Genomic DNA, 24,207 nt, shown 5'->3' with positions numbered 1-24,207 from the left:
AGAGTGAAACTCTGTCTCAAATAAAAAAAGAAAAAAAAAAAACAGAAAAAACCCCTCAGAGCCCCCATTGGGGTGAGGGGGACCGGGCTTTGCTCTCATGAGCTGGGTGAGCTCCCAGGCCCTCAGCCTGCATGCGGCTCAGCGGCCCGGCTCCCCTCAGCCAGGCGGCCACGTGGAAAGCACCGTGGGATGTGCCAAGGGCTCAGCTCGTTGGTCTTTGAACTGGACAGCACCTGAGAATCAGCTGCTGAGGTTGTGACCATGTGGCCTCCCTGGTCTCAAGATGCTGACTTAATTCATTGGAGGCGAAGGACTGAGAATCGGAAGTTTAAAACTAGAAAAAGCGCCAGCCAGGTGCGGTGGCTCACACCTTTAATCCCAGCACTGTGGGAGGCCAAGGTGGGAGGATCACTTGAGGCCAGGAGTTCAAGACCAGCCTGGGCAACATAGTGAGACCCCAACTCTACAAAAGTAAAAAATGTTAGGTCGGGTGCAGTAGCTCACACCTGTAAATCCCAGCACTTTGGGAGGCTGAGGCTGGCGAATTACTTGAGGTCAGGAGTTCAAGACCAGCCTGGCCAACATGGCTAAACCCCCTCTAAAAATATAGAAATTAGCCAGGCGTGGTAGTACCTGCTTGTAACCCCAGCTACTGGGAAGGCTGAGGCAGGAGAATTGCTTGAACCCGGGAGGCGGAGGTTACAGTGAGCCGAGATCACACCACTGCACTCCAGCATGGGCGACGAGCAAAACTCTGTCTCAAAAGATACATATATATATATAAATAAACATATATGTAAATAAATGTATATATATGTAAACAAGTATATACATAAATATATGCAAAAATAAATATATATAAATATATATAATTTTAAAAATTCGCCCAATATGGTGGCATGGCCCTGTAATCCCAGCTATTTACTGTACTCCCAAATACTGAGGTGGGAGAATCTCTTGAGCCTGGGAGGTTGAGGCTGCAGTTAGCCATGGTTAGGCCACTGCACTTTAGCCTGTGCAATAGAGGAAGACCCTATCTCAATAAAAGAAAAAAAAAAGGCCGGGCATGGTGGCTCACGCCTGTAATCCCAGCACTTTGGTAGGCTGAGACAGGTGGATCATGAGGTCAAGAGATCGAGACCGTCATGGCCAAAATGGTGAAATCCTGTCTCTGCTAAAAATGCAAAAATTAGCTGGGCGTGGTGGTGTGTACCTGTAATCGTAGCCACTCGGGAGGCTGAGGCAGGAGAATCACTTGAATCACTTGAACCGAGAGGCGGAGGTTGCAGTGAGCCGAGATCGTACCACTGCACTCCAGCCTGGTGACAGAGCAAGACTCCATTAAAAAAAAAAAAAAAAAAGTACCCCAGGGAGTTTTCCTGTGTATCTAGGGTTTAAATGGCCTGTCTTACTGCAGTCCTGAGGACTTAGTGTATAAAGGAAATACGCACCCTGTGTTCTAAATTACATCCCAGAATTAAATAGATGCTGAGACCAGCATCATTGTTTTAGTATCTCACTTGCTGTGTGGTGAAGTGTGAATTTAGTGTGGAACTAGCTGAGGTGTTTGAGAAATTTCACCATGTTGCTCCTCTGATTTCCCGGTGTTTTTGTAGAAAGTGTCAATGATGTATAGCCACATTATAGCTTCAGCTAATTTACATCTATGTTTATAATATAATCTTTTGGGTCTAGGTCATGTCTCCCTACCCCAACTAATACATTTTTTTTCTAATTCAGGCCGGGCGCAGTGGCTCATGCCTGTTATCCTGGCACTTTGGGAGGCTGAGGCGAGCAGATCACCTGAGGTCAGGAATTCGAGACCAGCCTGGCCAACGTGGCGAAACCCCGTCTCTACCAAAAATACAAGAATTAGCTGGGCATGGTGGTGTGCCCCTGTAATCCTAGCTACTCAGGAGGCTGAGCCAGGAGAATCACTTGAACCTGGGAGGTGAAGGTTGCAGTGAGCCGAGATTGTGCCACTGCACTCCAGCCTGGCATCAGAGCGAGACTCCGTCTCAAAAAAAAAAAAAAAAAAAAAAGACGTTTGTGTGAGGCTTGGTCTGAGAGGAGCTACTTGGACTTTATCAGAAGTTAAAAGCCAAGAGGGAGTCCCAGGGTTGTGACCCACTGCCGAGTTCCTAGAAAGCTGACTAGTGGCTGGGCGTGGTGGCGCACACCTGTGGTCCCAGTGCTTTGGGAGGCTAGCGGGGAGGATCACTTGAGTCTGGGGTGTGGAGGCTGCAGTGAGCAGTGATCTCACCACTGCACTCCAGCCTGGGCGACAGAGTGAGACCCTGTCTCAAAAAAAAAAAAAGTCAAGCAAGTTGACTGGAGCAGACCCACCACATGGTGTGTATCCATTCATCAGCGGCGAGCGTGGGGGCTGTTCCTGTTTCAGGCCACTAGAAATGGTGCTGCCCTGTGTGTTCGTGTGCTTGTTTTTGTTTGGACACCTGTTTTCCATCCCCTCGGGTGCACGCCCAGAAGTGGAATTGCTGGGGCGGTAACTCCACATGGAACCGTGGAGGAACCCCAGGCTGCTTTCCACAGCAGCCGCGCCGTTTGACATCCCCTTTGCCCTCGTGAGGGTCTGACCTCTCCACGCCTGGGATGGTCTTTTTGTTCTTTTCCTTTTAAATCAACAGTCCTGACCCTTTGAGCAGGAGGAGTGGGTTATCCTTGCTCCGGGGATGGGAGCACAGTCCTGGGGTGAGGTGTAGTAATTTGAAGCCCGTCTGGAGGATCGGGTGGCACTCTTTCCATTGTACAAAGTTGGATCATAAAGCATGGAGGAAAATATTATGTGTCTGTGCCCTCCCCCACCCCCCCACTCCCCCACAGCTGTGTCTCCTTCCCCAGCCCGGTGCAGCTGGCAGCCGAGGTTGGGGTGTGGTCCTGGGTGACACATGAGTGGTGGGTACTCCTGGGGCTGCTTCGAGGCCAGCTACAGTGGGGCTGAGGACAGAAGCGTGATGGGGTGGGCTTGCCATCCTTGCCTCTGGTGGGCACAGCAGGAGGAACATTGCATCCCGACGTAGGGGCTGGCAGGACGGGGCCCGGGCAGCCGTCACTCCTGACCTGTCGGATGATGGAGAGGGGCTCCTGTGCATTAGGAGGGCTTGTGGGTGCCTCATCGTTCACTGATGGAGGCACTCCAAGCCTCTGCTGCTCCCTCCTCTCCTTCCAGGTGGGGTGGGTTGTCTCTGGGGCCAGCATGGCATCGACTCGGCTTGTCTCTGGTGCTATGTTGGGCGCCTCACGTCTGCCTGTCCCTTGGGAACCTTGTCTGCCATTCTGGACCTCGTGCCTGAGTTCGCTTGGGTCAGAATTGTCCTTGATGGTGTTCTGGAGACACGCGCAGTTAGTGAGCAGGCCCAGGGGGATCCAGACACACCAGACACATCCCCTCAAAACCTGAGTGTGGTTTTCACAGCAGTGAGAGTCACCCTGGCTGAAGGTGGGAAGGCCCCACATGTTCGTCCACCAAGGAGTTGGCAAACGGTGGGGCGTGTATAGCGGAATGCTGTGCGCCACCACCACGGCCAAGTTCCAGAACATTATCAGCCTAGAAAGAAAGCGAACCCTCCCGTCTCCTCTCCCAGCCTGTGGCACCCACGAATCCCCTTCCTGTCTCTGGATTGGCCTGATCTGGACATTTCATAGAAATGGATTACACGGTGTGCTCTCTCTTATGCCTGGCTTCTTTCCTTTTTTTTTTTTTTTTTTTTTTTTTTTGAGACGGAGTCTGGCTCTCTCACCTGGGCTGGAATGCAGTGGTGTCATCTTGGCTCAGTGCAACCTCTGCCTCCCAGGTTTAAACGATTCTCCTGCCTTAGCCTCCTGAGTAGCTGGGATTACAGGCGCCCGCCACCACGCCCAGCTAATTTTTGTATTTTTAGTAGAGGCGGGGTTTCACCATGTTGGCCAGGATGATCTCAAACTCCCGACCTCGTGATCTGCCTGCCTCGGCCTCCCAAAGTGCTGGGATTACAGGCGTGAGCCACTGTGCCTGGCCCGAAATCATTATTCCAGCCCTCTTAGCTGGATGTTTGTAATCTCTGTGTTTATCCCCCATTATAGGCAAAATACATATCTCAGTGCATTGATGAGATCAAGCAGGAGCTGAAGCAGGACAACATAGCGGTGAAGGCGAACGCGGTCTGCAAGCTGACGTATGTAAGTGCCTCCCAGTGGCCAGCGCCCAGCACTGTCGGGCTGCTTCTCCACTCAGCACGTGTCCCCTATTCATCAGCCTGTCTGTCCACCTGTCAGTCATTGGTACCACCTGCTGTCGGTGAGCCACTCAGGGCCAACCCAGAGTCCTGGAGCAGAAAGCCATGTTGGTCACATGGCTGGCAAACAGGCCAGAGGGTGGCAACCCACAGGCCCTGGTGGTAGCCCTGAGGGAGCCCCATGGGGTCCTCTTCTGGGTGGGATTCACTGGGGACGCCCCTCGCCTGCAGTCTCGGCTCCCTCCCACCACAGGCTGGGCCAGGACACCTAGTGGGGAGAGCTAGGGCCCTGGACCTTCCAGGGCTGGCTCCTTTCCTGGCTGCAGTTCCAGGTCAGTGCGTGAGCTGGGGACAGGCACTCCTCCCTCTGGCCCGTTTCCCCGTGGGAGGACGAGACAAAGGGCTCGTCCAGGGTCCCCCATGCTGCTGCTCGTCTCGTAACTATTTCAAGGAGCCGATTCGCCAAGGGTTGGTAGGGGAATGTAGCCAGTACCCGTAAGCGCCAGTTAACCAATTGCAGACATTGAGTCTCTTTTTAGTGCCTGTTACTAACTTGTCCCTGTAGCTTTTAAATGTCAGAGTCGTTTGTCAAAAGAAGAAATTAAAGGCCCCAGGGGTACGTATTGGGTGGTTTGCTGACAGTGAATGAGTCTGTTCCAGCACCGTGTGCTGGGAGGGAGCGCTTGATGCCGCGGCTCAAAACCTTTCTCTCTGCTTTGGCTTGTGAGTGCAATTTCCTGTGCGTCCCTTAACAGTTACAGATGTTGGGATACGACATCAGCTGGGCCGCCTTCAACATCATAGAAGTGATGAGTGCCTCCAAGTTCACCTTCAAGGTGAGGTTCTGGGACGGCAAGGCTGGTGGGGTGGGGAGTGATTACAGGTGTGAGGCACCGTGACTGGCCAATTTTTATTATTATTATTCTTGAGACAGAGTCTAGCTCTGTTACCCAAGGTGGATTCAGTGGCCTGTAATCCCAGCACTTTGGGAGGCTGAGACAGGCGGATCACCTGAGGTTGGGAGTTGGAGACCAGGCTGGCCAACATGGTGAAACCCCATCTCTACTAAAAATACAAAATTTAGTGGGGCGTGGTGGCGCACGCGGCTATAATCCTAGCTACTTGGGAGGCTCAGACAGGAGAATTGCTTGAACCCGGGAGGTGGAAGTTGCAGTGAGCTGAGATCGTGCCATTGCACTCCAGCCTGGGCAACAGAGCGAGACTTTGTCTCCAAGAAAAAAAAAAAAACACATACATATTCCAAACTGGGAATTTCCTCATGGAATTTTGAAGAAATCTGCGTTGGTTTTCAAATGCGGGTTGGTTCCCACTTGCTGGTGGCCCCAGCGTCCAGGCTGCAGGGTGTTGCTTCTGGGCTGGCGCTGCCTGGTGTGGTCGCTGCAGAGCAGAGCTGGAGCTCCTGGAGGCTGCGGGTGTCCTGCCTCTGATGTGCTCATCTGTTCTCTCCCAGCGAATTGGCTACCTCGCTGCTTCCCAGAGCTTTCACGAAGGCACCGACGTCATCATGCTGACCACCAATCAGATCCGTAAGGTGGGTGTTCCCGGGCCGGGGCCGCTCTGTGCTGAGTGCAGTCTGCCCTTGCCGGAGCGTCTGGTTCCCACACGCGTCTTCCTGTGGGCAGCAGGTGCCTGTGGCCCCCTTGAGTGCGAGCGGGGCTTCCGGAGCCACAGTCCTCCCAGCAGACGCAGAGAGGAGGCCCGGCGGGTCTGAGCCTGCGCTCCCTGGTGGGCTTGTGAGGTGGAGGGATGCTGAGTGGTGCGGTGCCCCCTTCCCTCGCTCACCACCTGGAGGGGCCGGCGAATGGGGCTCCAGGGTCCACTCGCAGCTGGCCTCTGCGGTCACCCACTTTCTTCCCTTCTCCCCTCATGGTAGTGCCTGGTGTAGCTGTGGGCCCTTCCCTGCCCATGTGGGGTGCTTCCTGCCCGCGGCTTTTTTTGAGTCCCACGAGGTGCATTTTTCAGCACCATGTAAATGTTGCATTTTGAAATGGTCACGGAGGCCACTGGGTAGTAGTAAAGGTCCTTATTGGCCCCGAGCTCTGAACACCTTTGGTTCCCGCCTCTCAATAGAGGGGTTGGGGTGTTGGAGAATCAGGCCCACCCTTTTCATGGGCAGCTGGCCCCTTTCTGGCCCCAGACCGCACGTCAGAGGCCACGGTCCCGGCTCTCCAATGTCCATGTGCAAGGGCGGGACCCTGTGGCTGTGTTGTCGACCCCACAGTGTGACCTGAAGTCCTGGGCTGGGGGCTCCCAGCACGCCGAGGGACAGGTGTGGGGGCACTGGCTGTGACTGATGTCCGGCACAGGGTGTGGTGCAGGTCCTGGGACTGTTGGCTCTGCTGGGCTCACCGTTGTGGGCAAGGTTATAGAGCTGGGCGTCCCGCCTGGGCCGCGGGCGACATGCGCCCTAGATGCCGTGGGGCTCTTGGGTCATGGCCATGTAGCAGGAGGGACCTGGGCGGGAGTCTTCTTGGGTCGTGGCCGTGTAGCGGGAGGGGCCTGGGCGGGAGTCTTCTTGGGTCGTGGCCGTGTAGCGGGAGGGGCCTGGGCGGGAGTCTCCTTGGGTCGTGGCCGTGTAGCAGGTGGGGCCTGGGCGGGAGTCTGGCCCGCTAAGAGGAGGATGGGGGCGGGTTTTGCAGGTGGTAACTGGGAGGGAGGAGGGTGGAGGGCTCCAGCCGCCCTAGGTACCCAGGTGGCAGCTGCCCAGCAAGGAGGGCCACGTGTCGTGCCCAGCTTTGTGTCTCTTGCTGATGGGCTCGGCACGGCCGGTCCCTGTGTGAGCACCTCACTGGGGACTTAGATCCGCCGCTGCCTTGCGAGGTGCTCAGGGCTGTTAGACCCTGTGTGTCGGGCGCGGCTCTGACCTGGTGCCTGCCCCTGGCCTGGCCTCGGACGCAGGTGGGCCCTGGCTCAGCCAGTTAGCACCTGCTTCCTCTGTGTAGGATCACGTGCTTCCGATGTTTGCAGTCCAGTGTGTCATTTGTTTGTTTTGTTTTGTTTTGTTTTGAGACTGAGTCTCACTCTATTGCCCAGGCTGGAGAGCAGTGGCGTGATGTCGGCTCACCGCAACCTCTGCCTCCTGGGTTCAAGCGATTCTACTGCCTCAGCCTCCCGAGTAGCTGGAATTACAGGTGCCCGCCACCATGCCTGGCTAATTTTTGTATTTTTAGTAGAGATGGGGTTTCACCATGTTGGCCAGGCTGGTCTTGAACTCCCAGCCTCAAGTGATCTGCCCGCCTTGGCTTCCCAAAGTGCTGGGATTACAGGCATGAGCCACTGTGCCTGGCCTCATTTTGTTTTTTATTTTATTTTTTTGTTTTGTTTTGTTTTATTTTGTTTTTGAGATGGAGTCTTGCTCTGTCGTCCAGGCTGGAGTGCAATGGCGTGATCTTGGCTCACTGCAACCTCTGCCTCCCAGGTTCAAGCAATTCTCCTGCGTCAGCCTCCCAAGTAGCTGGGAGTACACGCATGTGCCACCACACCCGGCTAATTTTTTTGTGTTTTTAATAGAGACAGGGTTTCACCATGTTGGCCAGGCTGGTCTGGAACTCCTGACCTCAGGTGATCTGCCCACCTCAGCCTCACCAAGTGCTGGGATTACTGCGCCTGGCTTGTTTTTTAATAAAAAAAATTATTTCCTGGGCCGGGTGCGGTGGCTCATGCCTGTAATCCCAGCATTTTGGGAAGCTGAGGCGGGTGGATCTTCTGAGGTTGGGAGTTTGAGACTAGCCTGACCAACATGGTGAAACCCCGTCTGTACTAAAAATACAAAATTAGCCGGGCGTGGTGGTGCGTGCCTATAATCCCAGCTACTCAGGAGGCTGAGGCAGGAGAATTGTTTGAACCCAGGAGGCGGAGGTTGTGGTGAGCCAAGATTGTGCCATTGCACTCCAGCCTGGGTGACAGAGCGAGACTCCGTCTCAAAAAAAAAAAATTATTTTCTTTCTTTTTTTTTTTTAGGGTATTTTTAGTACAGACAGGATTTCACCATGTTGGTCAGGCTAGTCTTGAACTCCTGACCTCATGATCTGCCTGCCTCGGCCTCCCAAAGTGCTGGAATTAAAGGCGTGAGCCACCACGCCCAGCCCTAAAAAAAATTATTTTCTTACTTTTTTTTTTTTGAGACAGGGTTTTGCTCTGTCACCCAGGCTGGAGAGCAGTAGCGCAATTGCAGCTCACTGCAGCCTCGACCTCCTAGGCTCAAGCGATCTCCCCACCTTAGCCTCCTGAGTAGCTGGGACTGCAGGCATACACCACCACACCTGGCTGATTTTTTTTGTATTTTTTGTAGAGGCAGGGAGGGTTTCACTGCGTTGCCTAGGCTGGTCTCAAACCCCTGGGCTCAAGTGATCCTCCTGCTTCGGCCTTCCAAAGTGGTAGGATTAGAAGTGTGTGCCACCACTTCAGCTCACTGTGTTATTTTATTTTATTTTATTTATTTTTTGAGACAGAGTCTCACTCTGTCGCCATCTGGAGTACAATGTCGGCTCACTGCAACCTCTGCCTCCTGGGTTCAAGCAATTCTCCTGCCTCAGCCTCTCAAGTAGCTGGAACTACAAGTGTGCACCACCGTGTCCGACTAATTTTTTTTATTTTAGGAGAGACAGGGTTTCACCATGTTGGTCAGGATGGTCTCGATCTCCTGACCTCGTGATCTTCCCGCCTCAGACTCCCAAAGTGCTGGGATTACAGGCGTGAGCCACCGCGCACGGCCACTGTGTCCTTTTAAAAGAACCAGTTGGCCCCGCACTGTGGCTCACGCCTGTAATCCCAGCACTTTGGGAGGCCATGGCGGGCGGATCATGAGATCAAGAGTTCAAGACCAGCCTGGCCAACATGGTAAAACCCCATCTGTACTAAAAATACAAAAATTAGCCAGGCGTGGTGACACGCACCTGTAATCCCAGCTACTTGGGAGGCTGAGGCAGAGAATTGCTTGAACTTGGGAGGTGGAGGTTGCAGTGAGCTGAGATCGCACCACTGCATTCCAGCCTGGGGGACAGAGTGAGACTCGTCTCAAAAAAAAAAAAGCTGGCCTTGTCATATTTTGACCACAGAATATTAACCCTGAAAACGGATCTTGGTAGATGCATATATAGATGAAGTCTCGGGAGTTTCCTTAAGAAGATCTCTCCCCAAGAGCAGGTTTGTGATATCAAGAGAGGATTTATTTCCCCAAGTGCTGACACAGGAGCTGGGGCAGATTCCGTGTTTTAGTGAGAGCTGCGGGAGTGAAGAGCTGGGGCAGAGTTCATGGGAGGGCGTGGGCAGCTGCCAGCTGAACTTTGAGAGGGACCCATGGGAGCTGTTCCTGGGCCCTTCCCCTCAGTTGTTGCGGAAAGGGACCCCAAATGGGAGCAGGGTCTCTGAGGACCCCATCCTGTGGGGCTTTCCTGCCCATTCTGTGCCAGGCCCAGCACCGCCGTCTCTGCAAGCTGGGAGCTGCCAGTGATACGTGAGGGAAGCCCTGGTTTTAGGCCTGGAACGCTCTGCTCTTGCACCCGGGGTGGCCCTTCCCCACACTTGGAGTGACTTGTGACAGGCGCCTCTGTCCCAGGAGGTGCCAGGAAACTCGGTTGATTCCCACGCAGAGTGCTTCAGCCTGTGCCTCAGACCTCTCTGTCCCCAGCCCTGCCCATCCAGGAGGAGCCAAGAAACTTGGTTGATTCCCACCCACAGAGCGTTTCAGCCTGTGCCTCAGACCTCACTGTTCCCAGCCGCGCCCATCCCGGCTCCTCTCTTGGTGACAGAGTCTCCCATGGGCTGTAAATTCTTCCTCCTTGTCCGAGTTCAGCTTCAGACCCCTCAGCAGCAGGGGTGCTAAGGCACAGCTGCACCCCAAGAGGATATGCCGAGTCCTGGGGCATCCTGGGAGAATTTCGCTCCTGCTGCTCCTGGTGACCCAGGCGTCGGATGTGCCACCCAGGGCATCCTGGCCACGGCCCCTTTCTCTCACTTTCCAGGACTTGAGCAGCCCCAGCCAGTACGACACAGGTGTTGCACTGACGGGTCTGTCCTGCTTCGTCACCCCAGACCTTGCCAGAGACCTGGCAAATGACATCATGACACTGGTGAGTTTGTAAGCCTGCCCACCACCCCTGCATGTCTGCTCTGGGAAAAACTCGGTCAAAGTGGCATGCCTGGGAAGCTTGGCTATGCGGAAACCGGCCGGGGTCCCCGGTGCGTGGCCTGCCTGAAATGGGAACCAAATCACTGTCAGCTGGTGGAGCGGCTCTTGGGCCGCTTTGGTTCCTGCGTGTCTTAAGTTGATATTTGAAATCATCTTGCCGAGAGGAGCAACAGGGTGTCCCTGACAGGCCAGGCACGGTGGGGGATGTTTGCCCTGAGGTCTGACAGTGGCTCCTGTCTGAGCTGCCAGTGGGCTTCTGTGTGGTCCTCTTTCCTCCATCCCTGGCCACAGCTTGACTCCTCCTTGCCACTCTGCTTGTCAAAGGCTACGCCCCCGGCTGTGACAGTCTAAAACCTGGGAAGCCCCTGGAAATTTTGGCCCCAGAAACATCTGTTTTGTGCCTGACTTAACCTCCAGCTCATGAGGGGACCTTTGTTCCTTTTCATTTAAAACACAGTAGCCAGATTAACAGTGTGGAGCGGGCATGCTTTCCTCCCTGGGAAGCACTGTCCTCACATGGCTGCCTGTCCGCCCGGAGGTGTCTAGATCGTGGCCGATGGGCGCTGTCCCCGCGTGGCTGCCTGTCCGCCCGGAGGTGTCTAGATCGTGGCCGATGGGCGCGGTCCCCGTGTGGCTGCCTGTCCGCCCGGAGGTGTCTAGATCGTGGCCGATGGGCGCGGTCCCCGCGTGGCTGCCTGTCCGCCCGGAGGTGTCTAGATCGTGGCCGATGGGCGCAGTCCCCGCGTGGCTGCCTGTCCGCCTGGAGGTGTCTAGATCGTGGCCGATGGGCGCTGTCCCCGCGTGGCTGCCTGTCCACCTGGTGTCTAGATCGTGGCCGATGGGCGCTGTCCCCGCGTGGCTGCCTGTCCACCGGGTGCCTAGATCGTGGCCGATGGGCCCTGTCCCCTCGTGGCTGCCTGTCCACCGGGTGTCTAGATCGTGGCCGATGGGCCCTGTCCCCTCGTGGCTGCCTGTCCACCCGGTGTCTAGATCGTGGCCGATGGGCGCTGTCCCCGCGTGGCTGCCTGTCCACCTGGTGTCTAGATCGTGGCCGATGGGCACTGTCCCCACGTGGCTGCCTGTCCACCTGGTGTCTAGATCGTGGCCGATGGGCGCCGTCCCCATGTGGCTGCCTGTCCACCTGGAGGTGTCTAGATCGTGGCTGATGGTCTTGGAGATTGTCAGCACAGCCTGCTAAGCTTCTAGATCAGGGATCAGCAGGCTGCGGCACAGGGCCAAATCCAGCCGGCTGCACCTTCTTTTCACGTGTTGTGTTGTCTCTGGTGGCCTTGGTTGTGAAGGCACAGCTGTGTGGTCATGACAGAGGCTGTCTGGCCCATGAAGCTGAAAACACTGACTGCTGGCCTTCACAGAGTGCCGGCTCCTCTAGAGTAAAGCAGTGGGGAGCCCACGAGAGGGTGGATGTCAGTGCCCCATCATGGATTGGCTCTGTCAGGACCAGGCAGTTCGAGGCGACTCCCTGGGCCTGTTAGATGGGAGGGCTCCCGCTGGGGAATTTGAGCAGTCGCAGGGCACAGCCGTGAGGAGCTGGGCTGTAGGCTGTGTTCCCAGCACACCCTCGTTCCCTGTGTGACTTTCCTCTCCAGCCTTCCTCCCACTGTGGGACCCAGGACCCTGGGGCAGGAAGGCCACAAGGGAAGAGGGCTCTCTCTGGAGGGCAGGCCTGAGTCAGGGGCACAGTGAGGCTGGCTTCCATGCCATCCAAGATGCTGGTCTGTGGCCCCTGGGACTGGTGTGCAGCCACAGCGTCGGGCTGGAGGGCATCTCCTCTCTGTGGAGGAGGCGGCTGGGAGGGGCGAGAGCAGGGATGAGGCGCAGAAAGCCCGCGCAGGCTGAAGCCCGCTGCCCCGCAGATGTCACACACCAAGCCCTACATCAGGAAGAAGGCTGTGCTGATCATGTACAAGGTGTTCCTGAAGTACCCCGAGTCGCTGCGCCCTGCCTTTCCCCGGCTGAAGGAGAAGCTGGAGGACCCCGACCCCGGTTTGTGGATTTGAGTTAAGCCTCAGGGTTGAGGGTGGGGGCTCAGCCGGTGCCCTGGGAAGAGGTGGTGGCGTGTTTTGGGGGGTGCTGCGGGGAGTGGTGAAGGGCTCAGTCCAGGAACATGCCTGTTGGAGGTGGCTGGGCCTCCCCTTGCTGGGGCAGCCAGGAGGGAGGTGCTGGTGGTGGGGGCAGTAAGATCCAATGTGGCAGCTGGCGGTGAGTCTGGCGTGTCCCTGAGCAGAGGTGTACCCACCCCCGCCAGCCCCTCTTAGGACCAGTGCCACCAGGAGGCACCTTCCACAGGGCAGGGGATGGTCTAGACCATATGTCCCGTGCAGGAGCTGCCTCCACCTAGTGTAGCTGTTGTGTATTTGTGGTGTGGTGACTGCGGGACGCGGCTGCAGATTCAGTTTCACTGAGTTTCCCTGGGCTGGTGTGTGAAGCCTCTGGCGTGTGGCAGGCGTGGGTCGGTGGACCCCAAAGCCAGCCCACAGGAATCCCAAGGCCCTGTGTGCAGGAGGGGAGACCCCAGCCCTAAGCCCGGGACCCGATGGGCGAGCTTCTCCCTGGAGTGGTGGGCATGGATGCAGCAGGAAGACTCCCTGAGCCCCGATGGCTGGGCAGCTGTTTCTGGAGCCCTCATGCTGAAACCCCCACTCAGAGGGCCGCTGTCAGGCTGTCCTGAGCTTGGTGACGCTTGTGCGCACTTGTTCCTGGCAACAGTGCCGAGCAATGCTTTCTCAGCGCCAGGAGCTGGCTGCTGTGGCCTGTTCCCTGGAGGATCAGGTCTGTGGCTGCTGTCCCTGTCACCAGGAGGAGGTGGCAGAGCCAGGGCCATGTTCAGTGGGAGCTGCTGCAGGCCCCAGAACTTCCTCGCGGGCCAGGAAGACAGTAGGATGGTTTTCTAGGTGGAAGGACAGGCATGCTGATGAGAACCCCTTGTTCCCCAGGGGTTCAGTCGGCTGCCGTCAATGTCATCTGCGAGCTGGCCAGACGCAACCCTAAGAACTACCTGTCCCTGGCCCCGCTCTTTTTCAAGCTGATGACGTCCTCCACCAACAACTGGGTCCTCATCAAGATCATCAAGCTGGCAAGTACTGCCCGGGAATGTGGCCTCCTCACCCTGTGTGGGGCATTCCCTCACCCTGTGTGGGGCATTCCCTGCGGGTGACCGAGGCCCCCCCTGTCCCTCACCCTGCGTGGGGCATTCCCTGCGGGTGACCGAGGCCCTGCTGTCCCCACAGTTCGGTGCTCTTACTCCTTTGGAACCGCGGCTGGGCAAGAAGCTGATCGAGCCCCTCACCAATCTCATCCACAGGTGAGTGCAGGCCATGCGCGGTGGGGGCGGGCCGGCTCCACGGGGTGCAGTGTCGGAGCGGCGGGGGCGGGCCGGCTCCACGGGGTGCAGTGTCGGAGCGGCGGGGGCGGGCCGGCTCCACGGGGTGCAGTGTCGGAGCGGCGGGGGCGGGCCGGCTCCACGGGGTGCAGTGTTGGAGCGGCGGGGGCGGGCCGGCTCCACGGGGTGCAGTGTCGGAGCGGCGGGGGCGGGCCGGCTCCACGGGGTGCAGTGTCGGAGCTGTGGGGCGGGCCGGCTCCACGGGGTGCAGTGTCGGAGCGGCGGGGGCGGGCCGGCTCCACGGGGTGCAGTGTCGGAGCTGTGGGGCGGGCCGGCTCCACGGGGTGCAGTGTCGGAGCGGCGGGGGCGGGCCGGCTCCACGGGGTGCAGTGTCGGAGCTGTGGGGCGGGCCGGCTCCACGGGGTGCAGTGTCGGAGCGGCGGGGGCGGGCCGGCTCCACGGGGTGCAGTGTCGGAGCGGCGGGGGCGGGCCGGCTCCACGGGGTGCAGTGTCGGAGCTGTGGGGCGGGCCGGCTCCACGGGGTGCAGTGTCGGAGCTGTGGGGCGGGCCGGCTCCACGGGGTGCAGTGTCGGAGCGGCGGGGGCGGGCCGGCTCCACGGGGTGCAGTGCTGGAGTGGCTGCAAGCCCGGCCCCAGTGCGGTACAGCGGGGGCTGGGCGTGAAGCAGCTGAAAGATGACTGTCCGTCCTAGACTGGAAGCCTGTAGTGGCATTCCCGGCCACTAGACTCTTCTCCATGCTGCTTAGAGACGTTTGGGGAGTTTGGGTTTTCTTTGTGGGTCTCCGCACTGCAAGGTTGTGGAATGGGATCCTATGTTAGGAGCCTTTTCAGGCCAGGCTGCCTTTGGTTGCTAGAAGGGGACACTTTAATTCCTCAGACCAAGTGCTGAGGCGGAGCCAGGACCCCTCCCCGGCCCCCACTGCAGGGAAGGGGAGGGGTGCAGTGGGCCGCAGGCAGAGGCGTCATCGCCATGACTTTCAGATGCAGTCATGTGTCGGCAACAAGGACACATTCACAGAAGGGTGTCATTAGTACATTTCACCATGTGAGCAGTGTAGCATACGCGCACACGGACTTCACTGCTGAAGCTCGCCACACTCCTAGGCTATGGCGCGTGGCCATTCTCCTGGCTGCGGCCCTACGCTGCAGGTGACTGTAAAGCTGTAAGCAGCTGCGACTCCATGGTGATTATCTGTGTGTCTGAACACATCGAAACACCGAAAAGGGCTGGGAGCTGTGGCTCACGCCTGTGATCCCAGCGCTTTGGGAGGCCAAGGCGAGTAGATCACTTGAGGTCAGGAGTTCAAGACCAGTCTAGGCAACATGGTGAAACCCCGTCTCTACCTAAAAAATACAAAAATTAGCCGGGCGTGGTGGTGCACGCTTGCAATCCCAGCTGCACGGGAGGCTGAGGCAGGAGAACCGCTTGAACCTGAGAGGCGGAGGTCGCAGTGAGCCGAGGCCGCGCCATTGCACTCCGGCCTGGGCAACAGAGCGAGACTCCGTCTCAGAAAAGACAAAAAACAAAACAAAAAAAACTCTAGAAAAGATGCAGTAGGAAGGCGGTATTGCCATCTCACAGGCCGCCGGGGGTGCGTGGTCCGTCCCTGCGTGGATGCTGTCACGGGCCTGCAGTTGCAGAGGGATTGCTCACCTGCCCTTTCTGGGAAGATGAGACGATGACCAGCCGAGCACCACAGGCCTTGGAGAGCAAGGCACGGGCTCCCTCCTGGGGCACACTCCCTGAGCCGTGGGGCGGAGGCCGTCTCCAGCTGAGCTGCCGGCACTGGGTCACTGCATCTGACGAGGCCCCCAGTCCTCATGCCGCTTCCCTGTGTTCCTTTCCTTAGCACGTCTGCCATGTCTCTCCTCTATGAATGTGTGAACACCGTGATTGCAGGTGAGAACTGGCACTCTCCCCATCTGGAAGGGCTGGCACTGCCAGGCTGGGGTCTCAGGTGGGGACAGGAGGGCGCCAGGCCTGGTGTCTCCGAGCGCCACCCCTGCTGGAACTGAGAAGGAAAGCTGGCTGGTGGGGCCTGGGGCTGGCTGGGAGTCCGTCCCAGGCCTCTGCTGTCAAGGTGGCCATGCGTCTGCCTGGTCTTCCACCGCCATTGGTGCTGGGTGTTTGCTTCTTAAGCTGCCTGGTGGCCCAGCCACTCTGGAGTCCCCTTGGGTATGAAAGATTCACCTGCAGATAAAGCCCCTCCTCATACCTGCTTCCACAGATGCCGGCCCCTGCTGCTCAGGGCCTGCCATCCGCTCTCACAGTACACTGCATTTTTTCTGAGACTTTAAAGCACTCCTGAGACAGCATATCGTTTCACCCGTGGATACTTAAATAGCAGCATCTACCACAAAAATATTTTCTTTTTCTTTCTTTTTTTTTTTTTTTTTTTGAGGCAGAGTCTCACTCTGTTGCCCAGGCTGGAGGGCAGTGGCGCAACTTGGCTTACTGCAACCTCCGCCTCCCAGGTTCACGCCATTCTCCTACCTCAGCCTCCCGAGTAGCAGGGACTATAGGCGCCCGCCACCACGCCTGGCTAATTTTTGTATTTTTAGTAGACACGGGGTTTCACTACATTGATCAGGCTGGTCTCGAACTCCTGACCTCTTGATCCGCCTGCCTCGGCCTCCCAAAGTGCTGGGATTACAGGCCTGAGCCACTGCGCCTGGCCCACAAAAATATTTTCTAAGGCAGAGTCAGAATCCACACCTCCGGCTGGGCCAGGGCACAAGGGCCAACGACCAATGTCCCCAGTGGTCTCTGCCAAGCTGCTCCAAGTCAGCCAAAGCCTCACGGGGCATTGGGCGGTGGACTTCCTTATGGTTGATAAAGCAGAAGCTTCTCACCAGTAGGAGGGCCCAGCTATTCAGGAGGCCGAGGCAAGAGCATCACTTGAGCCCGGGAGTTCCAGGCTGCAGACAGAGTGAGACCCCGTCTCTCTTGAGGCTGGTGTGCAGTGGTGCGATCATAGCTCACTGCAGCCTTGACCTCCCGGGCTTAAGCAGTCCTCTTGCTTCTACAGGCGCATGCCACCCCACCCAGGTAATTTTTTGAATTTTTGGTAGAGACAAGGTCTCACTATGTTGCCCAGGCTGTTCTTGAACTCCTGGGCTCAAGCCATCCTCCTGCCTTGACCTCTCAAAGTGATGGGATTACAGGCCTGAGTTACTGTACTCAGCCAGCACCCCATCTCTTTTGTTTTTTTTTTTCTAGCTTTACTTAGGTATAGTTGACAATTAAAAATGGTATATTTTTAAGGTACACCTCTAGATTGTCAAATAGCACAATTCAGATAATTAACACATCTACACACCGCGCCCGGCCTACATTTCTGTTTAAAATACATTTGTTCCTACCTGGGTAATCTATACACCTATTTTAAGAAAAAAAAATTACCATCTACTTTTATATTCACATAACACTCCTGGCCGGGCGTGGTGGCTCACGCCTGTAATCCCAGCACTTTGGGAGGCCGAGGCAGGTGGATCACCTGAGGTTAGGAGTTCAAGACCAGCCTAGCCAATAATGGTGAAACCCCATCTCTACCTAAAAAATACAAAAATTAGCAGGGCTTGGTGTCGGGCGCCTGTAATCCCGACTACTTGGGAGGCTGAAGCAGGAGAATTGCTTGAACCAGGGAGGCAGAGGTTGCAGTGAGCCAAGATTGTGCCGTTGCACTCCAGCCTGGGCAACAAGAGCGAAACTTCTTCTCAAAAAACGAAACAAAACAAAACAAAAAAACAACACTCCTACAAAGATTGGGTGTGACATTTCTGAAATCTTGCATGCGTGAATATGCATTTATTTTGCCACATTTCTTCGTTCGTATTTACATTTATATGTAGACTTTCTGTCCAGGGTTATTCATTTCCAGATATTTGTATTTTTTGTATTAAAAAAATTATTATTTCAGTAGTTTTTGGGCGGCATTTGGTGGTATTTGGTTACAGGGATCAGTTCTTTAGCGGTGATTTCTGAGATTTATGTGCACCAACACCCAGGCAGTGTACACTGCACCCCATGTGCAGTCTCTTATCCCTCACCCCCCACCTCCCACAAGTCCCTGGAGTCCATTAGATCATTCTTTTTTGGGGCGGTGGGGGGGATCGCGGAGTTTCTCTCTTGTTGCCCAGGCTGGAGTTCAATGGCACAATCTTGGCTCACCGCAACCTCTGCCTCCCAGGTCAAGCGATTCTCCTGCCTCAGCCTCCAGAGTAGCTGGGGTTACAGACATGCTCCACCACTCCCGCTTATTTTTGTATTTTTAGTAGAGACAGAGTTTCTCCATGTTGGTCAGGCTGGTCTTGAACTCCTGACCTCAGGTCATCTGCCCGCCTCAGCCTCCCAAAGCGCTGGGATTACAGGCATGAGCCACCGCGCCTGGCCTAGATCATTGTTATGCTTTTGCGTCCTCATAGCTTAGCTTCCAAGAACCCATGTCTTAAAAAGAAAACACATGCACACGCACACGCACACACGGTCTCCTGTACACCTTCATTCCATGCCACTGGCTTGGTGGAAAATGAGTCTCTGTCCCTGCATGTGCCTGGCGGTCCCCTGGCTTCATGTCTTTCTTTTAAAGCTGTTAGAGCTGGGGCTCTGAGGGTCGGCTTCTCGCTGCCTGCCTGTCCCTGCCCAAAGGACGCAGCAGAGTCAGCAAAGGGGAATGGCTCCGGGGATGTTGGGGAGGCCAGGCCCAGCTTCTAGAGCCTTCTTTCAGTGGAGTCCTGCCGGATGTGCTTCATCCCCCAGCAGTGAGCTGTGATGATAATTTGTGAAGTGTCACCATGGAGGCTCCCAGAGACCCAGCGCCTGGGTTCCTACAGGGTCTGGTCCTGTGGCCTCGGGGCCTGGCCCCTGCCGGGATTCCAGACTCCAGAGGGAAGCAGGGGTTGCGAGTGAACCAGTGTTTGCAGGAACAGCTGAGGCCCCGAGCCATCCTGTCAGTGAGGGTGGGGGCCCCTGCAGGTTCCTATCCTCAGGCCTGTGATGGAGCTAGGTTTTTGCAAACACAGTTGGGCTGCGTGGTCCCAAACTCAGTGGCATTTCTGTCCTCCCTCCCATCCCTCCTCCCGGCGAGGGGGTGCTGGTGCCCCGTGGCCCTGAGTTGGTGTCGGCGCTGGCCATGGTGCTGACCGTGGTGCTGACCAAGCTGTCTGTTGCAGTGCTCATCTCGCTGTCCTCCGGCATGCCCAACCACAGCGCCAGCATCCAGGTACGTCCCGCACTGGGCGGGGCCCATGGGGTCCCACACTGCAGAGGCCACACCTTTCCACAGGCGGGAGCTTGCCCACCCTGTGACCAAGGTGCTGGTCCCCCCACGCCATCTTGCGGCTTGGGAGGGCACAGCCGCGTCCTGTGTGCACTACCTACCCGAGCCTGCTTGGGATCCCCATCATGTGTCTGTGGGGTGGATGCATGGGGCACTGAGGAGTGGGGGAGAGCGCCCGTGGGAAGCAGGGCCTCCCTTGTCTCCAGTGCCCCATGTGGGCCATGCTTGTTTCCCTCCTGGGCTTTGATTGGTGGGTGGGGCTGACGCCGGGCCTTAGGCCAGGTTGAGGTTGAATCTGGAGGGTACCTGTGGGACTCACCCTTGGTTTAGAGGATGTAACCAGCATCGTTTTTTTCTTCTTTTCAGCTTTGTGTTCAGAAATTAAGGATATTGATCGAGGACTCCGATCAGAACTGTGAGTCATCCCCTCCCCAGTGCTGTCATTTTCGTGTCCCCAGCTCTGTGAAGTTAGGGGTCCTCCTAGTGTGAGGAGGAAGTGGACACGGCATCTGCAACCCCAGCTGTCTCCCTGATGGATGGCACTCTGCCTCAGAGGCAGCCCTCTGCCAGTGCCCTGTGGCGCCCTTGCACCCCGACCTATCTGCGTGGGGTGGCTGGGAAACACCAGCTCCTCTGAGCCCCAGTCCCAGGGGAGATGCAGGGGGCATGGCAAAGGCCCCCACTGGGGAGATCCTGGCAGTTGGACAGATGCCACTCACTGAGCACCTTGGTCCGAAATTTCTGGATATTTCAGCCTCTGCATGTTTTTGCGGGGGTGCGTGAGGCTTTGCGTTGTGAGATAGAGCAGCACACAGCACCCTTGCCCAGGTGCCTGCCTGCATGTGGGTGCCCCCGTGCTGCTCTGTTGAGGAATCAGAATTAGCGGCCCCTGCCTGGTACCTTGTACCTGGGCGGTGTTTTGGATGCTCATTTTGAAGCCAGGTCTTTTTGTTGAGAGCAGGAGTTGGCAAACTCGCCTGCAACAGCCCAGATAGTGGAGTGGCCCTCCTTATCTGAGGTTTCAGGTACCCCCAACACAGTCCAAAAATAGGCAAGCACCCCACAGTCGGGTATTGCAAGAGAGACCGCGATCACATACCTTTCGTGACCGTGTTTTATGGTTGTTCTGTTCTTAGTTACTATTAGTTGTTCATTTCTTATTGTGCCTAATGTACACACTGAACTTCGCCATAGGCACAGACGTGTCAGAAAAACACCCACACGCGGGTCTCAGTACCGCCCGCCGTGTCAGCCTTCCACTGGGGTCATGGGCCCATCCCCCACGGGTAGGTGGGGACTACTGCGTTTTCTCCGTGGACCTCACGGTGTCTGTCTCTGCTCAGTGCTGCCCCGTGGCCTGAAAGCCACCGTGGATGGCAGTATGTGAATGGGTTCAGCTGTGTGCCCTGTGGCTGGGGTGGCCCTGGCTTAGGTTGTGGCATCTGTGCCTCATGCCCAGCCACCCTTAGCTGTCCGTGAGCTGGTTTGGGCTAGTCGGGTGAACAGTGAGTACTGGGTACAGGTGAGACCCTGCCTTGGGCCAAGGGTATCTGCTGCTGCTGCTGGAAAGTCTTCTCTGCGTTCTTCCCTGCACTGGCTGGGTGGGAAGAGGAGAGCTGACAGCAGCTACTACAACGTGGTAGTAGGTAGGGGAGGCCTTCCTGAGGGAGCCGGCATGGGGGCAGCCTGCACCCCGGCTCCCAGGGAGGGGGCTCTGCTAGGGCGACATCCCTCGTGGTGAGCTCCAGCTGGGATACTTGCTCTGTCCACCCCCAGGTTGCCAAGGCCAGGCAGCCTCCCGAGGTGGAGACCCGGCCCGGAGAGCCGTGGGCCCTGCCTGCACCCTGCTGCCTGTGTCCGTCCCAGTGACCCGGCTCTGGCCTCTCTCTGCAGTGAAGTACCTGGGGCTGCTGGCAATGTCCAAGATCCTGAAGACCCACCCCAAGTCCGTGCAGTCCCACAAGGACCTCATCCTGCAGTGCCTGGACGACAAGGACGAGTCCATCCGGCTGCGGGCCCTGGACCTGCTCTATGGGATGGTGCGTGCCCTCTGTCCGCCGCCCGCCCGCCTGGCCTTAGTTCTCTAAGGGACATTAAGTGTCAGGTGCAGAGCCACGTGGAATGCATGGAGTCCCCTCACACTCGGCCATCAGTTAGTGTGGTGGGGCAGGGCAGAGGGGCGCCAGTCCTGGTCCATGCCTGTCTTCCAGGGCCTGTGTGGAGGGGGCGGGGCCGAGCCTGCAGAACAGACTGTGCTGGGCCAGTTGTTGCTCCCTGGCTGGGGTCGTGTGCCTCTAACCCAGCCCACATCGCAGGGGCCTGCTGCCTCCCTGGCATCGATCTGTGAATCCGGGTCCGCCTGTGTCCCGTGGATTCTGTCTCAGGAGCAGGTGTTGGGTGTCTCACCAAGCAGGCCCCAGGCTGGGTCCGCTCTCACCACTGTCTGTACACTTTTGCCCAGGTGTCCAAGAAGAACCTGATGGAGATCGTGAAGAAGCTGATGACCCACGTAGACAAGGCAGAGGGTACCACCTACCGTGACGAGCTGCTCACCAAGATCATTGACATCTGCAGCCAGTCCAACTACCAGTACATCACCAACTTCGAGTGGTGCGTCCCGCTCCCAGGGGTGTGGCCGGGGGTTCCGTGGCGCCGCTCACTCACCGCCTCTGCCCCACAGGTACATCAGCATCCTGGTGGAGCTGACCCGGCTGGAGGGCACACGGCACGGCCACCTCATCGCCGCCCAAATGCTGGACGTGGCCATCCGCGTGAAGGCCATCCGCAAGTTCGCCGTGTCCCAGATGTCTGCGCTGCTTGACAGTGCACACCTGCTGGCCAGCAGCACCCAGCGGAACGGGATCTGTGAGGTGCTGTACGCTGCCGCCTGGATCTGCGGGGAGTTCTCAGAGTGAGTGGGCGCTGGGCCTCTGGGCTGGCAGCTTCTCCAAGCTTCTGAGGGGTAGGGACCAGGGATGTGCCTGGCAGATCCTTCCTACCGTCTCCCATCGCCCTGCCACCCCGGCCGTCTTGCAGGTCCGTGGGTTTCCAGCACCTGTCCCCTGACAATGGTCGGGCCCATTCCCCCTTTACAGAGGCGAGTCTGTGCTGCCCTGTCTGCCCTCTGCCCTCGGGCATCTGTGGCGTTCCCAGGAGATTGTAGATCCCGTGGGCACTAGGACTGGGAGGTGGGAGGATCCATGGGGTGGGCTGCAGACGGGGGGCTGGCCCTGGGCATCTGCAAGGCTCAGTTCCAGCTGGGCGCGTGGCAGCCCTTCTGAGCCCTGTTTGCTGTAGGTGAGGTGGGAGCTCCGTGTGGCAGTTAGGTGGCCCAGGGAGGCACCTGCTCAGCCCCAGCCTGCCTGCGCCAGGCCCCTCTGGAGGCACAGGGGTCTCAGTGCCAGGTTCCAGGTGGGCCGCAGGGATGGGTCTTATCGACACTGCCCCTGCCGTCTCCAGGAATGTCAGGTTCTCCCTGGCCAAGAGGACAGATCACAGCCACTGCTGGGCAGGCTCGGGTCACCGGGCCTGCCTGGAGGTGGGAATGTGTTGCTGAGACTCACGGTTCTCACAGCAGTCTGGATTTCCAGGCTCTCTTGGAAATTTATGAGATTTGCTGCTATGCCTCACTGCCTCGGGCCCGGCCCCATCACCACCACTGGCCGCTACCTGCTGCTCATCACGGCCACACCGAGCACTCCCCACCCTGGGCCTGCCCCGGCTCAGGAAGGCGCCTGACTTCTGGGATCCCGAAAGGGTCCCCAGCCAGCCTGCATCCTGGAGATGAGCACTTCTGTCATTTTCTTTTTTTCCCCTCGCCCCGAGACAGAGTCTGGCTATCTCCCAAGCTTTGCCCAGGCTGGAGTGCAGTGGCGTGATCTCGGCTCACTGCAACTTCTGCCTCTCGGGTTCAAGTGATTGTCCTGCTTCAGCTTCCCGAGTAGCTGGGATTACAGGCACCTGCCACCAAGCTCAAGCCTGGCTAATTTTTTTGTATTCTTATTAGAGATGGGGTTTCACCATGTTGGCCAGGCTGGTCTCTTAACTCTTTTTTTTTTTTTTTTTTTTTTTTTGAGACAGAGTCTTGCTCTATCTGTTTTCCAGGCTGGAGTGCAGTGGCATGATCTCGGCTCACTGCAAGCTCTGCCTCCTGGGTTCACGCCATTCTCCTGCCTCAGCCTCGCAAGTAGCTGGGACTACAGGCGCCCGCCACCATGCCCTGCTAATTTTTTTTGCATTTTTTAGTAGAGATGGGGTTTCACCGTGTTAGCCAGGATGGTCTCGATCTGTTGACCTCATGATCCGCCCGCCTCGGCGTCCCAAAGTGCTGGGATTACAGGCGTTAGCCACCGTGCCCGCCCTCACTTTCTGTATTTTTAGTAGAGATGGGGTTTCACCGTGTTGGCCAGGCTGGTCTCAAACTCCTGACCTCGTGATCTGCCTGCCTCGGCCTCCCAGAGTGCTGGGATTATAGGCGTGAGCCACCACACCCGGCCACTTCTATCATTTTCTTATTGGGAAAAAAGTGGACTAGAAACATATTCAAGTCCCAAGGCATTGTGTCAGACGCCAGTGAGGCGCACCCCGAGGCCCCACTGTCCCACAGATCAGGGTCTCCCGGTTCCGTCTGTTCCCTGCCCATCCTGCTTATCCTCCCAGGGCCAGCTGCACAGTTGACCCCGTTGTCCTTTTTCCTCTTCTGACCTTTCCTCCATTCAGTGGCTCTGTCATCTCCACATCTCTGCCTTGTTTGTGTTACGGGCTGTTGACGGCCTGTGGTTTCTTCTACTTCGTGTCTCAGCCCCTGGAGACCGCTCAGGGAATGGGAAGGGCCCAGAGTCACCTTGTTGGTGACGAGCCCAGGCCTCCTAGGTCCTCACCTGCTAGAGAGGAGCCCCGGGATTGGCATCCTGGGGGCTCACAGTGTTTCCTGTCCTCAGGCATCTGCAGGAACCACACCACACTTTGGAGGCCATGCTGCGGCCCAGAGTCACCACGCTGCCAGGCCACATCCAGGCCGTGTATGTGCAGAACGTGGTCAAGCTCTACGCCTCCATCCTGCAGCAGAAGGAGCAGGCCGGGGAGGCAGAGGGCGCTCAGGCCGTCACCCAGCTCATGGTGGACCGGCTGCCCCAGTTTGTGCAGAGCGCAGACCTGGAGGTGCAGGAGCGGGTAAGATCCA

At 57.3% G+C, this 24,207-nt stretch overlaps 1 protein-coding gene across 7 annotated transcripts in view, besides 2 other annotated features; it reads left to right on the top strand.

Moving 5' to 3' along the window:
- Window positions 1-24,207, top strand: part of AP3D1 (adaptor related protein complex 3 subunit delta 1) — a 63,629-nt gene that overhangs the window by 21,819 nt on the left and 17,603 nt on the right. For 5 of the 7 annotated variants that reach the window (XM_047439598.1, XM_047439597.1, NM_003938.8 and 2 more), the window contains exons 2-15: window positions 4,084-4,179; window positions 4,991-5,071; window positions 5,707-5,787; window positions 10,220-10,327; window positions 12,261-12,390; window positions 13,341-13,480; window positions 13,635-13,708; window positions 15,597-15,646; window positions 18,919-18,968; window positions 19,392-19,440; window positions 20,919-21,064; window positions 21,487-21,635; window positions 21,706-21,936; window positions 23,966-24,197. In XM_047439598.1, the coding sequence (XP_047295554.1) occupies window positions 4,997-5,071; window positions 5,707-5,787; window positions 10,220-10,327; window positions 12,261-12,390; window positions 13,341-13,480; window positions 13,635-13,708; window positions 15,597-15,646; window positions 18,919-18,968; window positions 19,392-19,440; window positions 20,919-21,064; window positions 21,487-21,635; window positions 21,706-21,936; window positions 23,966-24,197 (1,515 nt within the window). In that variant the 5' untranslated portion in view covers window positions 4,084-4,179; window positions 4,991-4,996. Of the gene's footprint in view, window positions 1-4,083; window positions 4,180-4,990; window positions 5,072-5,706; window positions 5,788-10,219; window positions 10,328-12,260; window positions 12,405-13,340; window positions 13,481-13,634; window positions 13,709-15,596; window positions 15,647-18,918; window positions 18,969-19,391; window positions 19,441-20,918; window positions 21,065-21,486; window positions 21,636-21,705; window positions 21,937-23,965; window positions 24,198-24,207 lie in introns of those variants that run through there. The other 2 variants (XM_047439599.1, XM_017027422.2) reach the window with 1 other exon arrangement.
- Window positions 1,259-1,416: a silencer, noted in NCBI's record as "fragment chr19:2141381-2141538 (GRCh37/hg19 assembly coordinates)". NCBI's record gives its function as "represses an EF-1alpha promoter that drives an FKBP-Casp9 reporter gene in an ReSE screen in K562 erythroleukemia cells {active_cell/tissue: K562}" and the evidence as "EXISTENCE:reporter gene assay evidence [ECO:0000049][PMID:32094911]".
- Window positions 2,081-2,281: a silencer, noted in NCBI's record as "peak3230 fragment used in MPRA reporter construct". NCBI's record gives its function as "represses an SCP1 promoter by STARR-seq MPRAs in K562 erythroleukemia cells {active_cell/tissue: K562}" and the evidence as "EXISTENCE:reporter gene assay evidence [ECO:0000049][PMID:32103011]".

Source organism: Homo sapiens, chromosome 19, assembly GCF_000001405.40.
Source record: "Homo sapiens chromosome 19, GRCh38.p14 Primary Assembly".
NCBI classification, from domain to species: domain Eukaryota; kingdom Metazoa; phylum Chordata; class Mammalia; order Primates; family Hominidae; genus Homo; species Homo sapiens.
This window is presented reverse-complemented; position numbering and strand designations above follow the sequence as displayed.